The sequence below is a fragment of the Homo sapiens genome, chromosome 6 (assembly GCF_000001405.40).
Source record: "Homo sapiens chromosome 6, GRCh38.p14 Primary Assembly".
Classification (NCBI taxonomy): Eukaryota; Metazoa; Chordata; class Mammalia; order Primates; family Hominidae; genus Homo; species Homo sapiens.
The window spans coordinates 36,371,655-36,393,603 of record NC_000006.12 but is presented as its reverse complement, the minus strand read 5'-3'; the positions used below and the strand labels follow the sequence as shown (position 1 = coordinate 36,393,603).

The window sequence follows — 21,949 nt, the reverse complement described above, 5'->3', positions numbered from 1 at the left end:
GCATGCACCACCACACCTGGCTATTTTTGTATTTTTAGTAGAGGGGGTGTTTCACCATGTTGGTCAGGCTGGTCTCAAACTCCTGGGCTCAAGTGATCCACCAGCCTTGGCCTCCCAAAGTGCTTACAGGCATGAGCCACCAAGAAGGTGACTTCTGAGGAAAACCTTGAAAGAAGTGTGGGACTGAGCTGTGGATATTGGGGAGGAGGCAGAGGATTGGAGGCAGGAGGACAGCAAAGCGCTTGGGGCAGGAGTGCATCTCGTGTGTTTGAAGAATGGCAAGGAGGCCAGTGTGGCTGAAGCTGAGTGAGGGAGAAGGTCATAAAAGATATGGTCAGGGCCAGGCGTAGTGGCTCACGCCTGTAATCCCGGCACTTTGGGAGGCCGGATCACTTGAGGTCGGGAGTTCGAGACTAGGCTGACCAACATGGAGAAACCCTGTCTCTACTAAAAATACAAAAAAAATTAGCCGGGCTTGGTGGTGCATGCCTGTAATCCCGGCTACTCGGGAGGCTGAGGCAGGAGAATCACTTGAACCTGGGAGGTGGAGGTTGTGGTGAGCCGAGATCGTGTCATTGCACTCCAGCCTGGTCAACAAGAGCGAAATTCTGTCTCAAAAAAAAAAAAGATATGGTCAGAAGGGTGGGTGGTGGGCAGATTAGGTAGGGCCTTGAGGTCACTGCAAGGACTTTTTTTCTAAGTGAGGTGGTGCCATCGGAGGGCACTGAGCAGAGAAGCCGCATTTCAACAGTCCACAGAGGGGGCTGTGCTGAGAACAGACTGCAGGGGGCAGGCGGGGGAGCATTTGTGTCTGACCCATGGTCTTCTTTTTCTGATGTTCCGACATAAACAGTTGTTACTTTCTGCTCCAAAATACTTAATATTCACCTCACCTCTTTGCCCATCTAAGTCCTAGACATTATTAATTATTATTATTATTATTGAGACAGGATCTCCCTCTGTTGCCCAGGCTGGAGTGCTGTGGCACAATCACAGCTCACTGCAGCCTCAACTTCCCAGGCTCAGGTGATCCTCCCACCTCAGCCTCCTGAGTAGCTGGGACTACAGGTGTGTGCCACCATGCCTGGCTCAGTTTTTCTAGAGATGAGGTTTCACCATGTTGCCTAGGCTGGTCTCAAATTCCTGAACTCAAGCCATTCACCTGCCTTGGCCTCCCAAAGTGCTGGGACTACAGGCAGGAGCCACCATGCCCAGTCTTCTCTCCATTCTTCTAGCCTCAAGGCAAACTTGCTCACCTCTTTGAAAGAACTAAGAAAGTGTTTTGGGAATCCAGGGGAATAGGTTATCAGCCCTGAAAAGAGTGCCCCAATTTACTGATGAGCCCCAGTTTGTTGAGACCAGCCAAGGCAACATAGTGAGACCCTGTCTGCACAAAATATTTTTAAAAATTAGCCAGACATGGTGGCATGCATCTGTGGTCCTAGCTACTGGGGAGGCCGAGGTGGGAGAATCACTTGAGCCCAGGAGTTTGAGGCCAGGTGGGAAAGACGGTCAGATAGGAAAATATGTCCAGAGGCGTTGTGAGGATATGACCATATGGAAGGTACTGTCCTTCAGCTCATACAATTCATAAAGCAACCCAAGAAGCTTGTTTGCAGCATGGATTGAATTAATATTTTCCATTGTGTTGAATTTTTAACTTTGGATTATTCTATCACTTTTAAAAAAAAAAAAAAACCTTTCTCTGTGTCTCCCTTTTTTCAAATAGGATCTTCAACAGGATGGCAGAGATGCACTAGATCATTTTGTCTTCTTTTTCTTTAGAAGAGTTCAGGTGTTGCTGCATTTTTTCTGGAACAACCATTTGCTGTAAAAGGAAAGTAAAGGTCAAGTGGTCAAGTTCTGTTTTCTTTTTACCCTCTGAGAAACATGAATCCCACTGGGACAGATGGGAAGAACACCCTTCTCCGTCTCCCTCTTTTTGTACCCATCACTGTTGGTCTACACCCAGTTTGTTGAAGAACTGCGGGTTCACGAGCCATTTGTCTCTTCGGAGGAGCTAGCTATGAGATGTCTGCGATCACATCACGGTAAAGCCCAAGGAGTAATTAGGACCCCAGGAAGCCTTGCTGCCCAGAAAACACCAGCGCTGTGGATGGTCCCAGGGCTCCTTGTGAGGAAACCTTGAACATTTCCTTCCAGGAATGAAAGAGAACCTCGTCCTCAAACTAAAGGCCACAGAAATGGGCACTACCTCCTGGCCCACTCCCTGGGCACCATGCCCTCTGGTGACCTGTTGGCTCCACTCTTGTCACTCATGTCCAGATCTGCAGTGCCAGCTTCTCCTTCTCGGTGACATGTCACCTCCCTGCCCCAATCCTGGCTCCAACCCTCTCTGGAAAATCGAAGTGAAACATTTGTCTCTAATACTCAAATTCAACATATGGCTCATCTCATCTACCTTCCCATTTCCATGCCTAGAGGCCCCACTACTACCACTAGCACCGTTGGGTGTTTCCTTCTCAGGCTCTGATTCTACAACATTTACGTTCTTTTCTCACCTTTGATCCCCTCACTCCTCTGTGACCCCCTTCAAGTCTTCCTTCACCACTCCAGTGTTTTCCCATACCACTCGACCCTGCTCGAAGGTATCTTTCCCTGCTCTGTCATCCTCTTTTAGGCATGCCTGCTTAAAATCGGGAGTGCTTAGTCCTTGGCCAACAGTCCTGCCTTCTAGAAGAATGTAAGACCTGAAAGAGTTATGAATCTATCACTAGGCAAAAACTTCTCTTTTCCTATTGCTGGATGGTTTTGCTATTATTGGTTGGTGGGCCCTTTGCCTGTGGAATGTATTTCACTCATTCTCTCCTGCACGCTGTTAGGCAGTTCTTTCACCTGCATGCTTCTTCTTTTACCTTTTTGTCTACCTCATAGTCCCTCTCTCCCCTCCTTTAAAAGAATTATAAATATTAGGAAAGCTTGTTGTTATAAATTAAAAGTTTACATATGTATCTTGAGTTCTTCATAGGGGAAGTGTTATTTTAAAAAATTCTAAAAATGAAATAAATATTGTTATTTTATTGAGCATGAAACCCCTGTGCATATTTCTTTTTTGAAGGAGGAACCCCACAGCAGGGTCTAGCCACTTATTCCTGCTCATATTGGTTTGTAGACTTTGATTATACATAGCATTGACTTTGTCCTTCCAAAGGGAAATGTCTCCATTTTTTAGTCTGTCGCAGGCAGTGCATATTTATTTCTATTATTACTTAGGTTCTGGCTGACTAGCCCTAAAACTGTCTTTTTAAAATTTATTTTGAATAGGTTTTTATTTATATGATTCAAAAATCAAAACAAGGCCAGGCACAGTGGCTCACGCCTGTAATCCCAGCACTTTGGGAGGCCGAGGTGGGCAGATCACGAGGTCAAGAGATTGAGACCATTGTGGCCAGCATGGTGAAACCCTGTCTCTACTAAAAATACAAAAATTAGGTGGGTGTGGTAGCACGCACCTGTAGTCCCAGCTACTCGGGAGGCTGAGGCAGGAGAATCGCTTGAACCCAGGAGGCGGAGGTTGCAGTGAGCCGAGATCATGCCACTGCACTCCAGCCTGGCGACAGAGCAAGACCCCATCTCAGAAAAAAAAAAAAAAATCACAACCATGTGAAAAGGTTTACAACAAAAACCCTTTCTATTATTTTCTACTCTAAATTCCAGTTATGCTTATTAGTTTTTATGTATCCTTCCAGAGGTTCTTTGTATAAATACTAATTAATACATACATACATACATACACACACACACACACACACACGTATATTTACATACAAGAGGTAGCATGTAATACACACTGTTTTGTACCTTGATTTTTTTACTTAGCGTGGGTGTTCAGGCACTGTTCTGGGTGTTTTATAAAAGTTAACTTACTTATTCATAACAACCTTATGGGATAGGTATTATTATTTGCTCTTTTTTACTGTTAAAAAATTGAGGCAGTAGTTAGTAGAGGGAGGCAGTAGAGTGGTTAACACAAACTTGCTCAAGGGCACACAGCCAGTAAATGACATGGCTGGGATTCCAAACCAGGCAGGTGTTCCTAAGTCTAGATTATTATCCACTATGCCATACTGCCTCTTGGAGAGCTTGCCATGATCCACAGAGAACTCCATAAAGTGTTGTATTGTATTCAGTTAAATGAATGTACATAATTTGGCTGGGTGTGGTGGCTCACATCTGTAATCCCAGTGATTTGGGAGCTGAGGTGGGAGATCACTGGAGCCCAGGAGTTGGAGGTTAAGGTGGGCTTTGATGGCACCACTGCACTCCAGCCTGGGCGACAGAGTGAGACCCTGTCTCTAAAAAAAAAAAAAAAATAGAAAATTAAAATTAAAAGAAATGAATGTGCATTAGTTTATCAAGCCTCCTTTTGTGGACACCTGAGTTATTTCTCATACTTTGCTATTATAAACCATGATTAAATAAGTAACTATGTATACTTTGGATATTTGTTGAATAAATTTCTGGTAGGCAGATTGCTGGGTGAAAGGAAAATGCATTTGTAAATTTGCCAGACCCCGCTGTGGGGTTGCACCACTTTACCTCAGCTTTTCCAGCAGATTATGTTAGTAAACTTTTAAATTTTTGCCAAATTTATGGGTAAAAATTTCTATCTCAGAATAACTTTAATTTGCACATTTAAAATAGTGAGTTTGTCTGAGCATCTTTTTCTTTCTCTGCTGCCCAGGCTGGAGTGCAGTGGCACAGTCACGGCTCACTGCAGCCTCCAACTCTCAGGCTCAAGCGATCTTCCATCCTCAGCCTCCTGAATAGCTGGGGCTACAGGTGTAGCCCCACCATGCCCGGCTAATTTTTTAAATTTTCAGTAAAGACAGGATCTCACCATGTTGTTCAGACTGGTGTCCAACTCCTGGGCTCAAGCGATCCTCCCACCTTGGCATCCCAAAGTGCTGGGATTACAGGCATGAGCCACTGCACCCTGGGCATCTTTTTGTATATTCAGGAGCCATTTGGCATTTCCTTTTATGTGGACTGTTTATTCATATCCTTTGCTCATTTTTTTTTCCTACTGGGTTTCTGGCCTTGTTCTTACTGGTTTCTTATTGCTGGCCTAGAGCTTGTGATGATATACCAGTGCTAAGCCTACTTTGTAACAGCGTCTACACCCTCAGATTTTCAGCAGAAGGTTGTTAATGCTTTTCTTTCCTTTTCTTCGGTGTCTTCTGGTTTGTTTTTATGCGCACAACCTCTCTTGAGACAGGGGGAGCTGAGACAGATGGAAAGGGTGATGGGTGGGCAGGCACCAACCCCGGAGCACCCAGAGGCCCAGGAAAAGGTGTCAGTCGGGATCTCCGAGTAGTCTGGCCCTGCTCAGGAGAGCACAGCCGCTCTGATGGTGGTGCGACGGTTCCGGACCTGTGGGGCCTCAGCGGGGCCAAACGGCAGGCCGAGACAGTATCGGGGCCGGGAAGGTCACTCACCCCTAAAGGGAGAGGCACCATGCGAGGCCCCTTCCTATCCTATGTGCGGAGACTCACAGGGTCCTTCCTGGTCCTGGGCTCGGGACCGTGAGAGACGCAGTTGGTTCCGAGTTCAGGACTAGGGGTCCCCTTAGATCCTCAGATCCTGCAGAATCCCGGCTCTGCCCCAGTGGGAGCCAAGGCCAGGTCGCCAGAGGGACTGTCCGCCGGCTGGAGGCTGTGTGCAGGACCCACGCCTCCCAGGCTAGCGAGCGGGCAGCGCCCCGGTGCTGCGCTCCCACGGGGCCGGCCCCTGCCCTGCCCTGCCCTGCTCCTAGCCCGCAGCGGCGCAAGTGGAACCGCATCCCGCTCTTTCGTTTTCGTTTCCCGGAAGGATAGCGATTACCGGAGCGCCTCGCGCGCCTGCCCGCCTGCGGAGGACCCGGGCGCACACGCCTTGGCGCTTCTCGAAAGAGATTTCCTCCCACGCGACCTTCCAGTTCTCGGAGCCAGGTTAGGGGTTTGGCGGAGGAGGACTGCGGGGCGCGGGCCTAGGGCCCCAGCAGCCACAGCCAGGGGAGCGCTCAAGACAGAAAGCCGGTGGCTTCCTCACCTCCACCTGTAATGCAGGTAAGAGCCTGGCGGCTGAACACGCAGCGCGCACGCAGAGCCACCTGCTCCCGCATCCTTTCCTCACCACCTAGATTTCCAAACCTATTTTATCAGACCTTTTACCTGGCGGGAATCTCTCTTTCCAACACATTCCTAAACCTCACATCCATCCCTCACTCACTTCCCCTTCCACCTCCAGACGCGGGTCACCGCCCCTGACTCTCTCGGTGTCATACACAGCTCTGAAGGCATCACGCACAGCCCCTGCGGGCCCTTTCCGCAGCCCCCTTACCACTGGTCGCCCCTACACCAACCAGATGTGAGGTCTTTGGAAGTTCGTGCGCCAGCCAGGTCCTCACAGCTGGTGAACGCATTCTCGCAGGGAGCCCCTCTTTAGCAGCCTCTCCCCACTCGCCGGTTTTCTAGGTGCCTCGAGACTGCCCCCAGAGCTGGCGCCCCGTCCCACTCCAAGGCCTTTCTCCACTCCCCTCTCGCCAGGACCCATACCCATTATCAGACCCTTCCCTGGCCTCCATGCTGAAACCCAGGAGTCTGATCCTCAGCAGCTCCGTGGCTGGCGTTTCCCAGGCAGTTACAGCCTCGGAATTCCCCGCTCCTCTTACTTGGATGAGGACAGAGGAGTAGACAAAGAGCCTCCTGCAAGCCTCCTTGGCAAGTCCGAGGCAAGTCCTGTGCCTTGAGCCCCTTCTCCAGCAAGGCAAGCTTCCCTTTCCCCACCAGGAGGCAACCCCTGAGGTCTGATTACTTGGGAAACAGCACCAAAGGGGGACCGGCTGGAAATGAAGTGAGAACGACCCGGAAAGGTGTTGAATCCCCTTTCGCAGCAGCCAAGGCTTCTGGAGTTTGCTTTGCTGGCTCCGATCCAAATTCTCTCTCGGCAGATATCTCTCCTCGGATCCCAAGAGATGAATGTAAAGCTTTTGACAATCCTAGAGTGAAAAATGACTTGATGGAGCTGGTTTCACTTTTCCTTTCCGTGCTGTGGCAGCCTGTGGCTGGGCATGAGCCCGAAGGAGCTTCCTATTCCTACAAAATCCTGCCACTTTCTTCATTTTCTCATCTGAATGGATGAACCCCGTCATCTCTGGGGGCCATGCTGATTGTTGAATTGTAAAGATACAGGCTTCCCGTGGTGAGACCTTAGGATTCAGAAATGTATCCTTATCCTTTCTTTTTCTCTTTTGAAAATAGTGTTTGTTTGTTCTGAGACGGAGTCTTGCTCTCTTGCCCAGGCTGGAGTGCAGTGGCGTGATCTTGGCTCACTCCAACTTCCGCTTCCCGGGTTCAAGTGATTCTCCTGCCTCAGCCTCCTGAGTAGCTGGGATTACAGGCGCCGGTCACCACGCACGGCTAATTTTTGTATTTTTCGTAGAGATAATGTTTCACTATGTTGGTCAGGCTGGTCTCAAACTCCTGACCTCAAGTAATCCACCCGCCCCAGACTCCCAAAGTGTTGAGATTATAGGTGTGAGCCACCGCACCTGGTCTATTTGTTTATTTCTGATTTAAGGTCTTTTGATCCTGGCCCCTCAGGTTTCCTGTGTTGTCCTCACCAGGGATCCAGTGAGGATTCCTAGGCTTTCAGATTTCAATCATACAAGTCTTGGCAGGGGATCCCTCTTGGAGTTAGGCACATGCATGGAAAGCTTGAATTGGAAGGATGTCATTTATTGTGTCCACTGGGTACAAAATGTTGATGGTACTGAGTTGAAGATATACATGGTTCCTACCTTTAAGGTTGATGCAGTCTTCTGGTGGAGATAAACACTCTTTCCCTTCCAAAAAAATTCTTAAGACATTTAAAGATGGCTGAGCCTTCACCAAGATGCTCTTCTTTGACTGTCCTGGTTTTTCTCTCTCTAGGAGGGAGAATTGGCTATTTCTCCTATAAGCCCTGTGGCAGCCATGCCTCCCCTAGGCACCCACGTGCAAGCCAGATGTGAAGCTCAAATTAACCTGCTGGGTGAAGGGGGGATCTGCAAGCTGCCAGGAAGACTCCGTAAGTAGAGGGGAGGAGAAAAGCTGAGTTTTTAAAAGTAAATTTTTATTTTGTTTTAGATCCAGGGTCTTGCTCTGTTGCTTACTTAGGCTAGAGTGCAGTGGTGTAATCATAGCTCACTGCACCTTCAACTTCCAGCTCCTGGGTTCAAGTAATCCTCCCACCTCAGCCTCTCCAATAGCTGGGACTACAGGCACACTGGCTAATTTTAAAATTTTTAGTAGAAATGGGAATCTCAGTATGTTGCCCAGGTTGGTCTTGAACTCTTGGGCTCAAGCTATCCTCTCGCCTCTGCCTCTCAAAGTGCTGGGATTACAGGTCTGAACCACTATACCTGGCCCTTAAAATTAAATTTTTTTTTAAATAAGAGACAGGGTTGCTCTATGTTGCCCAGGTTGTTCTCAAACTCCTGGGCTCAAGTAATCCTCCCATCTCGGCTTCCCAAAGTGCTGGGATCACAGGCATGAGCCACTGTGTCTGGCCAAAATTTTATATATATCTCATACCATAACTTTGTATTGCATAAATATATACAATTATTATTTATAATTTGTCAATTAAAAATTTAATTTTTGCCAGGTGCCAAGATTAACTTACCTTCCCTCTGTTTGCTGTTTCTTTGCTGAGTTTTCTTTAGCTTTTTGTTTGTGATGGAGTCTCACTCTTGCCCAAGCTGGAGTGCAGTGATGTGACCTCAGCTCACTGCAACCTCCGCCTCCCTGGTTCAAGCGATTCTCCTGCCTCAGCCTCCTGAGTAGCTGGAACTACAGGTGTGTGCCACCACACCTGGCTAATTTTTGTATTTTTTAGTAGAGATGGGGTTTCACCATATTGGCCTGGCTGGTTTTGAACTCCTGACCTTGTGATCCACCCGCCTCGGCCTCCCAAAATGCTGGGATGACAGGTGTGGGCCACCGCACCCGGCCAAGGTTAGAAATTTTAACACAACTTCTAAGAAACACTTTCTAATAGTGAGGTTCAAACACAAGACCCACAACTCTCCTCTGAGCCCTGGGAAATCCTATTTCCCTAAGACCAAACTTCCTAAGCTCAGAGGCTCACTAAATATCTATTGAATGAATTAATGAATGAATGACTAGGGATCTTCATCAAGAACACCAGGACCTCCAAACAATGCAGGATCACTTCTGTGGGCCCTTCTGAGATGGTCACCAGATCTTCCTGCACACTTCTAGGGACAGGCATTTCCTCCCCTCTTGAGGCAGCCTATTCTCTGATTGCATAACTCAGGGTGCAGGTCACCGTGGCCTATTTTCTCCTAGATTAGAACTCCTGAGCTACCAGTTCTGTTGCCTTGGGTTAGATTTCCCCAGGAGCAGACCCTAAAACACTGGTGAGGAGTAGGGAGGAAAGACAGAGAAGAGAAGGAAATCCCAAAGGTGTTCTTTTGGTCCAGTTAGCACCACGGGGATCTCTGGGGACAGTGAATCCTAAGTTATTCCAACCAGTGGGTAAGGGGATTATCCACTCACTTCCCTTCCATGACAGCATGAATGCTGTTTCCAGGGGTATTGGCTCTCCAGCATTTCCAAGTTACCCTGTACACTGGCTAAGGGGTTCCTGCAGCCAGAAAAAGCCCAAGGCAGAGTCAGATGGGGCATTCGGCAGCCTTCAGAGTGTGGAGGTGAGAGGCAGGGCCTATGGGCAGGGCCCCAGCAGCATCTTCTATACCTGTCATCTTAGATTCCATGACTCATATTTATTGGAACATCTGCAAATATTCAGACAATACAGTTCTGGCCCTTAGTAAATACCTGACAGTTTTAAAAGATAGGGGATGACAAATGACTCATTTTCCTGTCAACAGCATCCCAAACAAGCAAACTGCTGACACCAAATGAAGATTCGACTTTTCAGCCCTGTTGGGGGTGATCTCAGCCCAGTTTCCTAAATTTCTGGAAGCTGGGTTTCCATCTCTGCCCATCTCTCTGATGTTTATTCCCCGTCACCCACCCCATTCCCTCCCCTACCTCCAACCTCCATTTTAGTAGTCAGGACTGATTTGCCTCAGCAGGAAGTGAATAAACAAAACAGATCTTGTTTAGCCTTGTGAGTTGATGCTAAGAGGAGCACGGAAGTTATTTTCCTGTAGAGCTCACTTTTTTTGTGTTGATTTTCCTGACAAAGATGTGTAGTAAAGCAGTGGAAAGTCCACTCTGAGGACAACCGTGATGTCCAGGGTTGTGGCAAGGGTCAGGAGGTCTACTGGGATGGAGGAGTGGGATTCACGGAGATTCACAACTATGCTTCCCTGTATGGAAATGGGGAACAAAAGAGGATTCTCACCTCCCCATCCCCGGTCCATGGCCATGAGGGTCTGCCCAAGGCCAGAGTGAGTCAGGAGCTATGGGGGGACGCAGCTGCAGGGCAGGGACAGCTGGCAGTGCAGACTCTAGGACCATTTTCAGAACTGGGCTGATATCACAGGGGACTGGGAGGAGGTGATGCACCCTCAAGGGACAACTTGGGAGAATTCTGAGAGGAGGCAGTTCAGAGATGGTCACCACCATGGCCTCTTCAGTGACAGAGAAACTGAGACTCAGGGAGGGCAAGGGTCAACTGTGATGCTAATGGCCAGACTAGGCCTCCAACCCAGGACTCTTACTTCTCGGTCCTGCGTCTCTTCTTTTCCCTGGAGCTTATTCCCCAGAGAAAAGGTCTGTGAACTTCTCACTTTGGATGCAAAGGAAATGAGACTTCTTTGTGTTTTGAAATTGACTTTCAAAGCTCCTAGCTGTAAATAAGCCATGGGAAGAGACGTAGAGTGCCGTGTCCTATATTCAGAGTTGCAAGGAGAGGGATAACACCTCTCTGTGACTCCCTGGAGGTGTAAAGCAGGAGAAATGGGCCTTTGGGAAGCTTGAACAGATTTTGGGTGCCCATGCTGAAGTTCACATCCTTCACATGTGAGAGAGTTCCTGGGCACTTCATTTAATAGATCAGCGCTAACAGTTGTGGCTTCCCGGTATTCCAGACCAGGGCTTCTCAGATTTTAATGTGCACATGAATCTGCTGGGAACCGTGTTGAAATGCAGATGCTGGTTCAGCAGTAGGTCTGGGATGGGGCCTGAGATTCTGCAGATTTCTAATAAACTCCTGGGTAATGCTGATGCTGCTGGCTTGAGAACCACATTTTATTTATTTTCAAAGTGCTGGTCAAGACTTACTAAGGAAGTGAAATCCACTTAGTGGACCAAGATAAATATTTTTAAAAATTGAAATAGAACAACACATCAGAGCGCATTATAAATAGTAAAGGTAGCTGAGATTCGTGACTACTTTGTTTAGGCTATTTTTATATATGTGTGTGGGTACAAAATATTATTTGTTTACCATGGGTTGAGGTCAAAAATGGTTTGAGAAATGCTGCCCTAGATCATGGCCTATGAGAAGCAGGAGATTAGATGGATGTGGGTGTAAAACACCAGAGAGGTGGGGTGGAATGGGAGGATGGAGATTAAAAGCGAGTGTTCTAATTCACTGGAACGTGTGAGTACTGACAGTGACATCACCTGGCAATGAAAAGGAATGTGGCGGTGAGGACCCAAACAAGCAGATGGGGAATTCCAAGAACTATTAATATGAGGATAAAGAACCTCTCCCCTCCCTAAATGCAGGGTCTGGGCTAGACCATATGCATCTTTGTGCAAATTGGAAAGACTCCTCCTTTGGGGAGAAGCCAATCAAAGTCCCAGCTGGATTTCACCTCCATCCTCCCATTCCCCTCCTCTGATGGTATCTTTGTGCAGTACACAACGTGAACTGTATGCACTGGCCCTGCCCCCACAGTGTGGTGATGACCGTAAAGCTTGGTGTGATTACCAAGAAAAGGATTATCGACCAAGACAATGGGGCCAAGCAATGGGGTGACAGATTTAAGGAGTCTCTGAAGACACCATGACACACAATAAACTAAGGACATGATAATTGATAAAACGTAGTCATCATGGCAGAGAAGCAAGCTAGTCTCTCTGTTTTCAGGCTGGGGTCTGATGATCAGCATCCTGATCATCAGAATAAAGGCCATTCATTCGTTGAGTTTTTATTCTTGACGAGGTATTGTGATGAGCATACCGTATTTATTATCTGATTGAATATATTCAGTAGGCATGGAAAGTAGCTTTTTTTGTTATCTCCGCCTTACAGTTGTGTAAACTGGGCCATAGGTGAATTATCTTGTCCAAAGCCACCTACCAGTAAAATGGTGGAGCTGGGATTTGAACCGGCATCCCTCAGACCCCACAGCTGTCATTTGCTTTGAGAAACTGCCTCTAGCCTCAGATGATGATAGCTCCCATTTTTAGGGTACTGGCCAAGCACTTTAACTGCCTCCTGCATTCTTCCTGCAAGGGGATCCTGCAAGGTAGGGAGAAGCCAGCTGTTCATTCTGATTTGGTTGCTAAAGGCTGGTCAGGCTCTGTGGCTCCTGGAGCTCACTAGACCCAGTAAACTGCAGGGGTGTGGTGGGAAGTGGTGGGAAATAGCTTTGGTCAGGTGGGGAGGGGCACTTTGAGGGGTCTTGAAACCAGGACAGAGGGGTTTTGACTTGATGGGCTTGGTAGTTGGGAACAATAGTTTCTTCAGCAAGAGAGTAAAAGGGATGCTGTGGGAAGAGAGGTCCAGTCGGGGTCGGGGTGGGAGTCAGGGGCTGGAGAAGGGGCAGGCAAGGAGGCCCTGGGGGTGACCCCACACTGCTTTGCTCAACTCACTTATTTAAGCAATTTATTTTTATTGAGCAGCTACTATGTGCCAAGCATTGCTATAGGGGCTGGAGAGACCACAGTGACTGAGACAGGCAAAGTCTGTGCCTCCTGGAGCTTACATTCTAGTTGGGGATTCAGTGACTATGTAAAGAAGCGCTATGTCCACAGATAAGGGCAGTGGACGTGATATAGCTGGGAGGTGGAGGGGAGCCCCCACATGTAGCCCTGCTCTGGGAGGAGGTAGGGGACAACAGTGTTGACTCTTCAGGGAGACACCTGAGCCCTCCAATTGTGTCCTGGACAGGCAGCTCCTCTTGCTGCCCCAGCCAGGGGACTCTGTCCATATCTGCCTTGGGAGCTGGGAGTCGGGAGCTGGCCAAGCTGGAAATCCTCAGTTAGCAGGCCACTGGGCCGGGAGAGTGAGGTGACATTTGCCTGGAGTCTTGAGAGACAAAGATGGTTAATGGGAAAGAACTGAAAATGCAATGGATTATTGCCAAGAGAGGGAGAGGCCGGGGGCTGATCTGCAGGTGAAGTCCCACATTCACCTTACATTGGGAAGGGGAGCCCCAGTTACTCTCATCCTGGCAACTGGGTCAGGGAGACTTCTTGAGGGTGATTGACGCCCTAGATAATACCCACCAGGTGTTGGACCCTGTGCCACGCATTTTACGTGTATTACCTAATTGACATTTATAGCTCTATGTGTGTCAAAAAGCACATGCCACATGCCAGATGCTGCTTTTAAATGGGTTATCTGAAAGCATCCTTGTGACAGCCCTGTGTGGACAGTACAATTTTTTTCATCATCCTTGGTTTCACTGATGATGAAACTGAGGTACTGTCATTTAGGTCACATTATTTACAGCTGGCCTGGCAACATCATCTATGCTTTCTGTTGTTGTTGTATGTTTTTACTTTTTTTTTTTTTTTTGAGATGGCGTCTTGCTCAGTCACCCAGGCTGGAGTGCGGTAGCTTGATCTCAGCTCACTGCAACCTCCACCTCTGGGGTTCAAGTGATTCTCCCGTCTCAGCCTCCCAAGTAGTTGGGATTACAGGCACGTGCCACTGTGCCTGGCTAATTTTTTTATTTTTAGTAGAGATGGGGTTTCACCATGTTGGCCAGGCTGGTCTCAAACTCCTGACCTTATGATCTGCCTGCCTTGGCCTCCCAAAGTGCTGGGATTACAGGCATGAGCCACCACGCCCGGCCTTCTTCTTTTTCTTCTTCTTCTTCTTCTTCTTCTTTTTTTTTTTTTAAGAGACAGGGTCCCACTCTGTTGCCCAGGCTGGAGTGCAGTGGCAATATCATAGCTCATTGCATCCGTGAACTCTTGGGCTCAATCCCTCCCTCCTCAGCCTTCTGAGTAGCTGAGACTATAAGCATGCACCACCATGCCTGGCTAATTAAAAAAAATTTTTTTGTTTGTAGAGTCAAGGGTCTAACTATGTTGTCCAGGTTGGTCTCAAACTCCTGGTTTCAAATGATCCTCCCTCCTCTGCCTCCCAAACTGCTGGGAATTATAGGCCTCAGCCACCACAACAGGCCAGGAATCACAGTTTTGAATTTTCAGGCTGACGCCTCCAATATGGTGAACTAGGGGAACTACACAAAAAATATGAGTTCAGGTACAATGCAATTGGCGGTTGACACCCTAGCCGCGGAAGCCCTGGCTGGCTGTGGAGGCCTGCCCTCGACCCCTCAGGAATCTGCCCATCGTGTGGCCTCCACATTTTACACTAAGTCAGCTTTCGGCGTCTCATGTATCACCAGACTCATCTCCCATCGCGGCTCTAAATTCCTATCTTCACCAGCAAAGCATCCTTTTCCCTGCACTCCTGCTATTAAATATCTTATTCTTCTCTGATGGTACATTTCCCTGACTATTGAGGTGACATGTCTTGTCACATGCTTATTGGTGGATTTGCTGTGCCACAGGGGATCTCACCTGGCAGCAATTTTGCTGCTCCTTTCCCCCCGGGGACATTTGGCCGTGTCTGGAGACATTTTTAGTTGTTAGAACTAGGCTGGCATTGAGTGGATAGTGACCAGGGTATTCCTAAACATCCTGCAACACACAGGATAGGCCTTCACAGCAAAAAATTATCAGTCCCAAAGAGTCAATAGTGCTGAGGTTGAGAAATCCTGCTTTGCTGGGATTGCTGGAAAGATTTTTTTTGTCTTTAAAAAAATCAATTTACAGATGCTCTTGACCTATGGTAGGCATTAACCTTTTATCTGTCATCTGCATTGCAAATATTTCCCTGAAATCTACCCTCTTTTAGTTTTGTTTATGGTATCTTTTGCAGCAAACACAGAAAATTAATGTAGTCAAATGTGTGTTTCGTTTTTATTACAGCCTCTGCGTTTCCTGTCATGGTTGAGGTCCTCTCTGCTCTTATTGAGTGCATTTGGTTTTTGATTTCTACTTCTATTAAGATTTGTATTTTTCTATTCTTTATGCCTTTAATCTACCTACAATTGATTTTTGTGAATGTGAATGGTGGGAGGTGAGGACCCAAATGTATTTTTTTCCAGGTGGAGAGTCAGGTTTTTTTTTTTTTTTTCCATATTAGATTAACTATCCTTTCCCTCTGAATTAAAATCCTGCCTCTGTCATGTATTAACTTTACAAAATATACATACACACATAGGCACGCGTGTGTGCGTGCATGAACACTTACTTGCTCCTGGGCTCCACCTTCTTTTCCAATGATACTTGCCAATCTTAGCATAAGACCATTTGATCTTAGTTACATGGCTTTGTCACATGCAGTACCACAGAGGCCAGTTCTCACATGTATTCTTTTTTCCTGCCTTAAATAATTTTTTTGGCAATTTCAGACATGTACTCTTTTCTCTTACTCATTTTTAGGTCCCAAAATAGAAGTAAAGGAAACCTTTCCTCACTCTTAAACTGGGCTCTAGCTCCTTGCTTTCTGTTTTCTCAGCACAGTGAACGTTCCCTGTGTGCCGTCGGGAGGACTATCGTTAGAGTTATTGGTGGTGGGGCTCCTCCCTCCTGCCAGCCTGGTTCTGTGCCGTGTCCCTAGCCCTGCACAGTGACTGACACAAGCTGGTACTCATTAGATATTGGCTGAATGAATGAACAAGGAAAGATGCAGATCTCCTTTGTTTTAAATGTTAAAATTAAGTTCATTTCCTGTGTTGCTTTGAGTATAAGGGAGCAGAGGCTGGTCTGGTCTTTATCATTGCCAAGGTGTGGCCTTGGACAGTTGCTTCTCTCTTCTGCCTCAACTTTCTTACCTGTAGAACTGAACCCAGTGAGCTCTGAGTCTTTACACCAGTGCAGTCATAAAATAGGATTTAAATTTATGTATTTTTTTGATACAGGGTCTCACTCTGTCACCCAGGCTGGAGTGCAGTGGCGCAATGATGGTTCACTGTGACCTCCCGGGCTCAAGCGATCCTCCCACCTCAGCTTCCCAAGTAGCTGGGACCACAAGTGTGCATCACTATGCCCGGCTAAATTTTCTTTTTTGTATTTTTGGAGAGACGGGGTTTTACCAAGTTGCTCAGGCTGGTCTCAAACTCCTGGGCTCAAGTGATCTGCCCACTTTGGCCTCCCAAAGTGCTGGGATTACGGGTGGGAGCCACCACGCTCAGTGTATTTTAAATATTTTTTGCCCACAAAGGCAAATGTGTCAAGGGCTCATGAAGTCGTAACGTAGCCCTGCTGAACACTATCCAAAACTTGGCATTAGGAGCGTAGCAGTCCCAGGCAAAGTGGAAACGTGGGGAGAATAAGCAGCCACTTGTCTGGCTACTGCCAGAAATAAAAACACATGCACTGAAGGTGAGTGTAGGAGGCTCCCTTTGTCCCCTGGGCTGTTCCCTGAGCAAACCTGATTCCAAGTTGGCACAATGGAGCAGAAAAGTTCAATAGCCAGACAGCCCGGCTGTGCCCCATGCTGCCTGTATGCGTGTGGGCTAGTCACTTAACCTCTGGGAGCCTCACTGCCTCATTTGGGAAACAATAACATCCCTTCCTTTTTTTTTTTTTTTTTTCTTTAGAGGGAGTCTCGCTCTGTCGCCCAGGCTGGAGTGCAGTCGCATGATCTCGGCTCACTGCAACCTCTGCTTCCCGGGTTCGAGCGATTCACCTGCTTCAGCCTCCCGAGCAGCTGGGACTACAGGTGCATGCCACCATGCCCAGCTAATTTTTGTATTTTTAGTAGAGATGGGGTTTCACCGTGTTGGCCAGGATGGTTTGAATCTCCTGACTTTGTGATCCACCCGCCTCGGCCTCCCAAAATGCTGAGATTACAGGCATGAGCCACCGCGCCTGGCCAGTAACACCCCTTTCATTGGGTTGTTCAGTCATTCAAGTACTCACTCAACATGTGTTTTCTGAGCACCTACTGTGTTCCAGGCACTGTTCTAGGTGCTGAATACACATAACAGTGTGCTCCAGCACGCCTAGTCCAGTGCTGGCACATAGTAGGTTCTCGTTAAACACTTGTTGAATGAATGATTGGAAAACAGGTGGTGGGGAGGTACCAACAATAAATAAGTGAATAAATACATGCTACATACATAATGACAAACACGAACACATAATTCTATCCAATGTAAAATGTAATTACAAAGAACGTAACATGCTAGGAAGGAAAGAAACAGGTGGCAGCGACAGAAGATGATGGGGGTTGGGGGCCAGGACAGGGGAGCATCTGCTCAGATGAAGTGTTCAGGGTGGGCTTCTTTGAGGAGGCCCGACGGGGAGTGATGGGACTGGTCCTTGCTGGTTGCAGGCATCCAGCCCGCACTGTGGAGCAGGGAGGACGTGCTGCACTGGCTGCGCTGGGCAGAGCAGGAGTACTCTCTGCCATGCACCGCGGAGCACGGGTTCGAGATGAACGGACGCGCCCTCTGCATCCTCACCAAGGACGACTTCCGGCACCGTGCGCCCAGCTCAGGTCAGGGAAACGCACAGGCTTTCCTCTAAGCGGGAACCCTGGTAGGCCAGGATGGCCCAAGTACCCCCGGGGGGCCCAGGGAGGGAGATGGAGGGGTCTTCCTTGGGGAATCATGCTCATTTCCAGCACTGCAGATGCCCCTCTGCATACGTGTGTATCTGGTGGTTCCTAGCTAGAGCAGGCCTTCAGCAAGGGAGTCCATTTGACCACTTGTTTTCAGAGCTGTAGGGGCCTGTTCTGCTCTCTCGCTTTCTCTTCCCTTTATCTGTGGCCCTTGTCTCCTCTATCCACTTCCATCCTGTTGCCTCCCACCCGCTACCCCTACTGAACAAAAAACCAACTAGAGAAAGATCAAATATTCATTCACACTGAGGTATAAATGGGTGGTAACAGCAAAATCCTTGACTTCCAATATGACTTTTGATTTTAACCAGAAACTAGGTCTGAGGGCAAAGGAATGAATGTCAGATGATGGTGTTCCAGCAGCACGGAGTTTGTGGGGAGGGACTGGTGGTGGGAGGGAGGGTGGCCAGTGGTAGCGGGCAGCAGGGCCTTCCAGGAACCTCTAGAATCGCATCTGAGTCTTGTGTGGCTTGTTTTCAGTGGCTCTTTTGTTTGTGCTGATTTGGTGTCTTTTTCTTAAGAATTCGCTCATGTTTTCTGTGTTCCTTGTCTTTTGGCCAAGCAAGCCCACAGTGTATTTGGCAAAGAGACGTTCTGAAATCTGCTGATTTGCCTGTTTATACCTAACACATACAGCCCAGTCTCATGTCACATCCCAAGTTCTTTTTTTTTTTTTTTTGAGATGGAGTCTCACTTTGTCGCCCAGGCTGGAGTGTAGTGGCGCGATCCTGGCTCACTGCAACCTCTGCCTCCCAGGTTCAAGCGATTCCCCTGCCTCAGCATTCTGAGTAGCTGGGATTACAGGCGCCTGCCACCACGCCCGGCTAATTTTGTATTTTTGGTAGAGATGGAGTTTTACCATGTTGGCCAGGCTGGTCTCAAACTCCCAACCTCAGGTGATTTGCCCACCTTGGCTTCCCAAAGTGCTGGGATTACAGGCATGAGCCACTGCTCCCAGCTGACATCCCAAGTTCTATCACCCACTTCCCACTGTGAGCCTCCTGTAGCAGCTGCTGGAACTTTCGTCTCTCTAAGAGCTTGGATTCAAGAGCTCTAGTGGGAGGTGAGGGGAGGGCAGGGACAGAGAGACAAGGCTTCCAGCTTCCCCACAGCCCTGATGGTCCTGCACTGAGGCAAAGCGGGGAAGCAGGTGAGCTTGGGGCTGGTCCCCTTCATGCCCTTGTTCGTCTCTCCACCTTCCTACAAGCACTCCTGGTCCTCGAGTGCCCACTGTCTACATTGTATCCCTCTGGCTGCCTGGGATCCCCAGATTGGCTCTCTACCCACAGATCCCCTCTTTCCTGCCCTACTATCAGCACCTTAGCCCAAGGTATGAGTCAAAGAAGATTTCTGGGACCAAGGACAGAGCCCAATTCTGGCTTTTTTTTTTTGAGACAGGGTCTCACTCTATTGCCCAGGCTAGAGTTTGGTGGCGTGAACACAGCTCACTTGTGCCTCAACCTCCTGGGTTCCAGTGATTCTCCTGCCTCAGCCTCCCAAGTAGCTGGGACCACAGATATGCGCACCATACCCAGCTGATTTTTAAAATTTTTGTAGAGACAGGGTCTATCCATGTTGCCCAGGCTGGTCTCAAACTCCTGGGTTCAAGCAATCCTCCTGCCTTAGCCTCCTAAAGTGTTGGGATTACAGGTGTGAGCCACCGCACCTGGCTTTTCCTTTCTTCAACCATTTATTGAAGCAGCTACTCATTCTGCCTTTTAGGAAGAGGCTAAGACAGCTTTGCTCCTTAGAAGGCAGGGCAGACTTTCAATAAAGCTTGGAATCCCATGAGCCTTAGAACTGTCTCTGCTCCCAGGAACGTGAGGTACAGTTGCACAGTTTATGCACTGTGCACAAGCCCTCAGCCAAGGGTGTGTGCGAGGGTTGAGAAACAGCCTGACCTTGCAAGCTGCATGCCCTGGAGGCGGCTGCGTGTACCGGCAGGAAAGGATGTCTTTCTAAAATTCATCCACCACGGGAGCAGCAGCATCTCTGCCCATTGCCAGCCCAGCCTCCTGTTAGCTGCAGCAGGAACCCCTTTGCCATCGGCATGAAGCTGTGACAAGACATGCCAGCCCTTGCCCTGAGGCAGGTGGCTGCAGGGGGATGAGGCTGGCCCTCCCCACGTGGCCTGTTCAGCAGCCTGCCCTCCCTCCCACCCACCTCCAGGTGACGTCCTGTATGAGCTGCTCCAGTACATCAAGACCCAGCGGCGAGCCCTGGTGTGTGGGCCCTTTTTTGGAGGGATCTTCAGGCTGAAGACGCCCACCCAGCACTCTCCAGTCCCCCCGGAAGGTGAGGAAGCTCTCTGTGGTGCTCGGAGTACCTCCCTCAAATCAGCCTCACTGGGAGGGCAGGACATCCTCAAGGCGAAGCAATGAAAGAGGTGGCCAGTGTGGGCAAGCTCCCCTCCCGCCCCACCCCCACCTCCTGCTCTGGGGCGTTCCTGGCCGCCCTTCCTCTGTGCTGCACCCTCCATGCCTCCCACCTCCCCATTCTCTGCTCTCTCCAGCAAAGAGTTGTTTGTATCATGTCTCAATTTCCTCTCTGCAGCCCTCCGTGGAAACCACTTGTCAAGGTCTCCAGAAACCTGAAAATAAGGATGTCCATTCCATGGCCACTCTCAGTCCTGATTTACTGTGGTCTCTCGCAGCCTTTGACCCTGGGGGTCACCTCTCCTTCCTTCCCCCAAAACTCTTTCTTCCCTTGGCTTCCAGAACACCCCACTCACCTGGTCTCCTCTACCCCACTGGTGTCTCCTCGACCTCCTCTTCTGGTTTCTACTCTTCTCCCCTGCTTCTAGATGTTGGGGTACCCCTCTCTGCTTCTCTATCTGCATTCAGATGCTGGGCAATCTCATCTGATCCTGGGTCTTAAACACCATGTGGTGCCAAGGATTCCAATATATGTCTTCCTCAACCTCTCCAAATTCCAGATATGTGCACCCACGCTGCCTGCCCCACCCCTCCACTGGGGCATCTAGTAGGCCTCTCAACACCCCCAGCCCCTAAACCAAATGCCTGATATCCTGCCCTTTCCAGTCTTCCCCAGCCCCACAAACCCCACCTCCACCCTTCCAATTGCTCAGATGTCATCTTAGATTTCTACCCCCACCCCCACTCATCCCAACTGTCCATAAATCCTGTCAGCCCTACCTTCAAATCTGTCCAGAATCCAACCTCTTCTCACTCCTCTCCTGCTGCCCCATTCCAGCCCCCATTGCCTCTGGAGAACGTCCTCACTGGTCTCCTTGCTTCTGCTCTTGACCTCCTATGATCTATTCTCCACAGCACAGAGAGTTTCAGAAGTCAGGTCACGTCACTTGTCTGCTCAGCATCTTCCAGCAGCTCCCTTCTCACTCGGAGTCCAAGTGCAGTTCTTCCGCTGACTCCTGCCCTTGCCTTCCCCTCCCAGCCTTCTCCCCCGTGCTCCTGCTGCTCCAGACACACGGGCCTTCGGGCCTTCTTGTTCACTGGACAAGTCTGAGATGCTCCTGCCCCAGGGCCTTTGCACTTACTGTTCCCTCTGCCTGGCATCCCCTCTCTGCTCTAGATACCCACAGAGCTCACTCCTCTACCTCCTTCAGGTCTGTTCAAATGCTAATGTCAGGGAGGCCTGAGCAGCCTCTCTAAAGTGGCAACCCCTGCTCCTTTCCCAGATTTCCCTATCTGCCTTAGGGTGATTTATTTTTTTCACCTCATATTGTATACTGTTTCTGTTTCCTTTTTATTTTAATCGTCCATCTCCCCTGCTCTCAACTAGCATATAAGCTCCCTGAGGGCAGGGGCTTTGGGAGCTCAGCGATATATGCTCAAGATTCTTAGAACAATGCCTGGTTCATAGAAGGCTCTCAATAAATACTCGTTGGGCAAATGGAGAGGACATGGGATACAGGGCCCCTGGGTTCTAGACCTGGCTCTGTCACTGCTTGGCTTTGCAGCCATTTTCATAGATGAGGGAACAGGCTTGACAGGTTGTTACTTGTGTGGGAGCTGGGGTTAGCACTTAGGCTGTCTGGCCCTCACCCACTGCCCCCCACTGCCTCCCTGACCTTCTAACCAGGGGCTGGTTGGAGAAAGAGCATCAGGAGTGC

The 21,949-nt window shown here is 48.9% G+C and overlaps 2 protein-coding genes and 1 long non-coding RNA gene across 13 annotated transcripts in view, besides 3 other annotated features; 2 read left to right on the top strand and 1 right to left on the bottom strand.

Moving 5' to 3' along the window:
* PXT1 (peroxisomal testis enriched protein 1) overlaps positions 1-3,053 on the top strand; it is a 52,304-nt gene extending 49,251 nt beyond the window's left edge. For both annotated transcript variants that reach the window (XM_011514400.3, NM_152990.4), the window contains one exon: positions 1,730-3,053. In XM_011514400.3, coding sequence (XP_011512702.1) covers positions 1,730-1,834 — 105 coding nt within the window. In that variant the 3' untranslated portion in view covers positions 1,835-3,053. The remainder of the gene's footprint in view (positions 1-1,729) is intronic.
* On the bottom strand, positions 1,781-6,984 carry ETV7-AS1 (ETV7 and PTX1 antisense RNA 1). Of its 2 annotated transcripts, none has more exons than XR_926758.3 (2): positions 6,674-6,984; positions 1,781-1,828 (listed from the first exon to the last, which is right to left on the bottom strand). It is a non-coding gene; the product is annotated as an ETV7 and PTX1 antisense RNA 1 (long non-coding RNA). The 2 variants fall into 2 exon arrangements; XR_007059565.1 differs by lacking the exon at positions 6,674-6,984 and adding an exon at positions 5,460-5,684.
* Positions 5,705-5,914: a silencer, noted in NCBI's record as "silent region_17113". NCBI's record gives its function as "represses an Ori minimal core promoter by ATAC-STARR-seq in GM12878 lymphoblastoid cells {active_cell/tissue: GM12878}" and the evidence as "EXISTENCE:reporter gene assay evidence [ECO:0000049][PMID:35858748]".
* Positions 5,935-21,949, top strand: part of ETV7 (ETS variant transcription factor 7) — a 33,582-nt gene continuing 17,567 nt past the window's right edge. For 3 of the 9 annotated variants that reach the window (NM_001207035.2, NM_001207038.2, NM_016135.4), the window contains exons 1-4: positions 5,935-6,068; positions 7,935-8,070; positions 17,569-17,733; positions 20,026-20,151. In NM_001207035.2, coding sequence (NP_001193964.1) covers positions 6,063-6,068; positions 7,935-8,070; positions 17,569-17,733; positions 20,026-20,151 — 433 coding nt within the window. In that variant the 5' untranslated portion in view covers positions 5,935-6,062. Of the gene's footprint in view, positions 6,069-7,083; positions 7,204-7,934; positions 8,071-17,568; positions 17,775-20,025; positions 20,152-21,949 lie in introns of those variants that run through there. The other 6 variants (NM_001207039.2, NM_001207036.2, NM_001207037.2 and 3 more) reach the window with 5 other exon arrangements.
* Positions 6,041-6,864: an enhancer, noted in NCBI's record as "H3K4me1 hESC enhancer chr6:36354517-36355340 (GRCh37/hg19 assembly coordinates)". NCBI's record gives its function as "activates a minimal SCP1, AML or CMV promoter by ChIP-STARR-seq in naive H9 embryonic stem cells {active_cell/tissue: H9 hESC(naive)}" and the evidence as "EXISTENCE:reporter gene assay evidence [ECO:0000049][PMID:30033119]".
* Positions 17,109-17,608: an enhancer, noted in NCBI's record as "H3K4me1 hESC enhancer chr6:36343773-36344272 (GRCh37/hg19 assembly coordinates)". NCBI's record gives its function as "activates a minimal SCP1, AML or CMV promoter by ChIP-STARR-seq in primed H9 embryonic stem cells {active_cell/tissue: H9 hESC(primed)}" and the evidence as "EXISTENCE:reporter gene assay evidence [ECO:0000049][PMID:30033119]".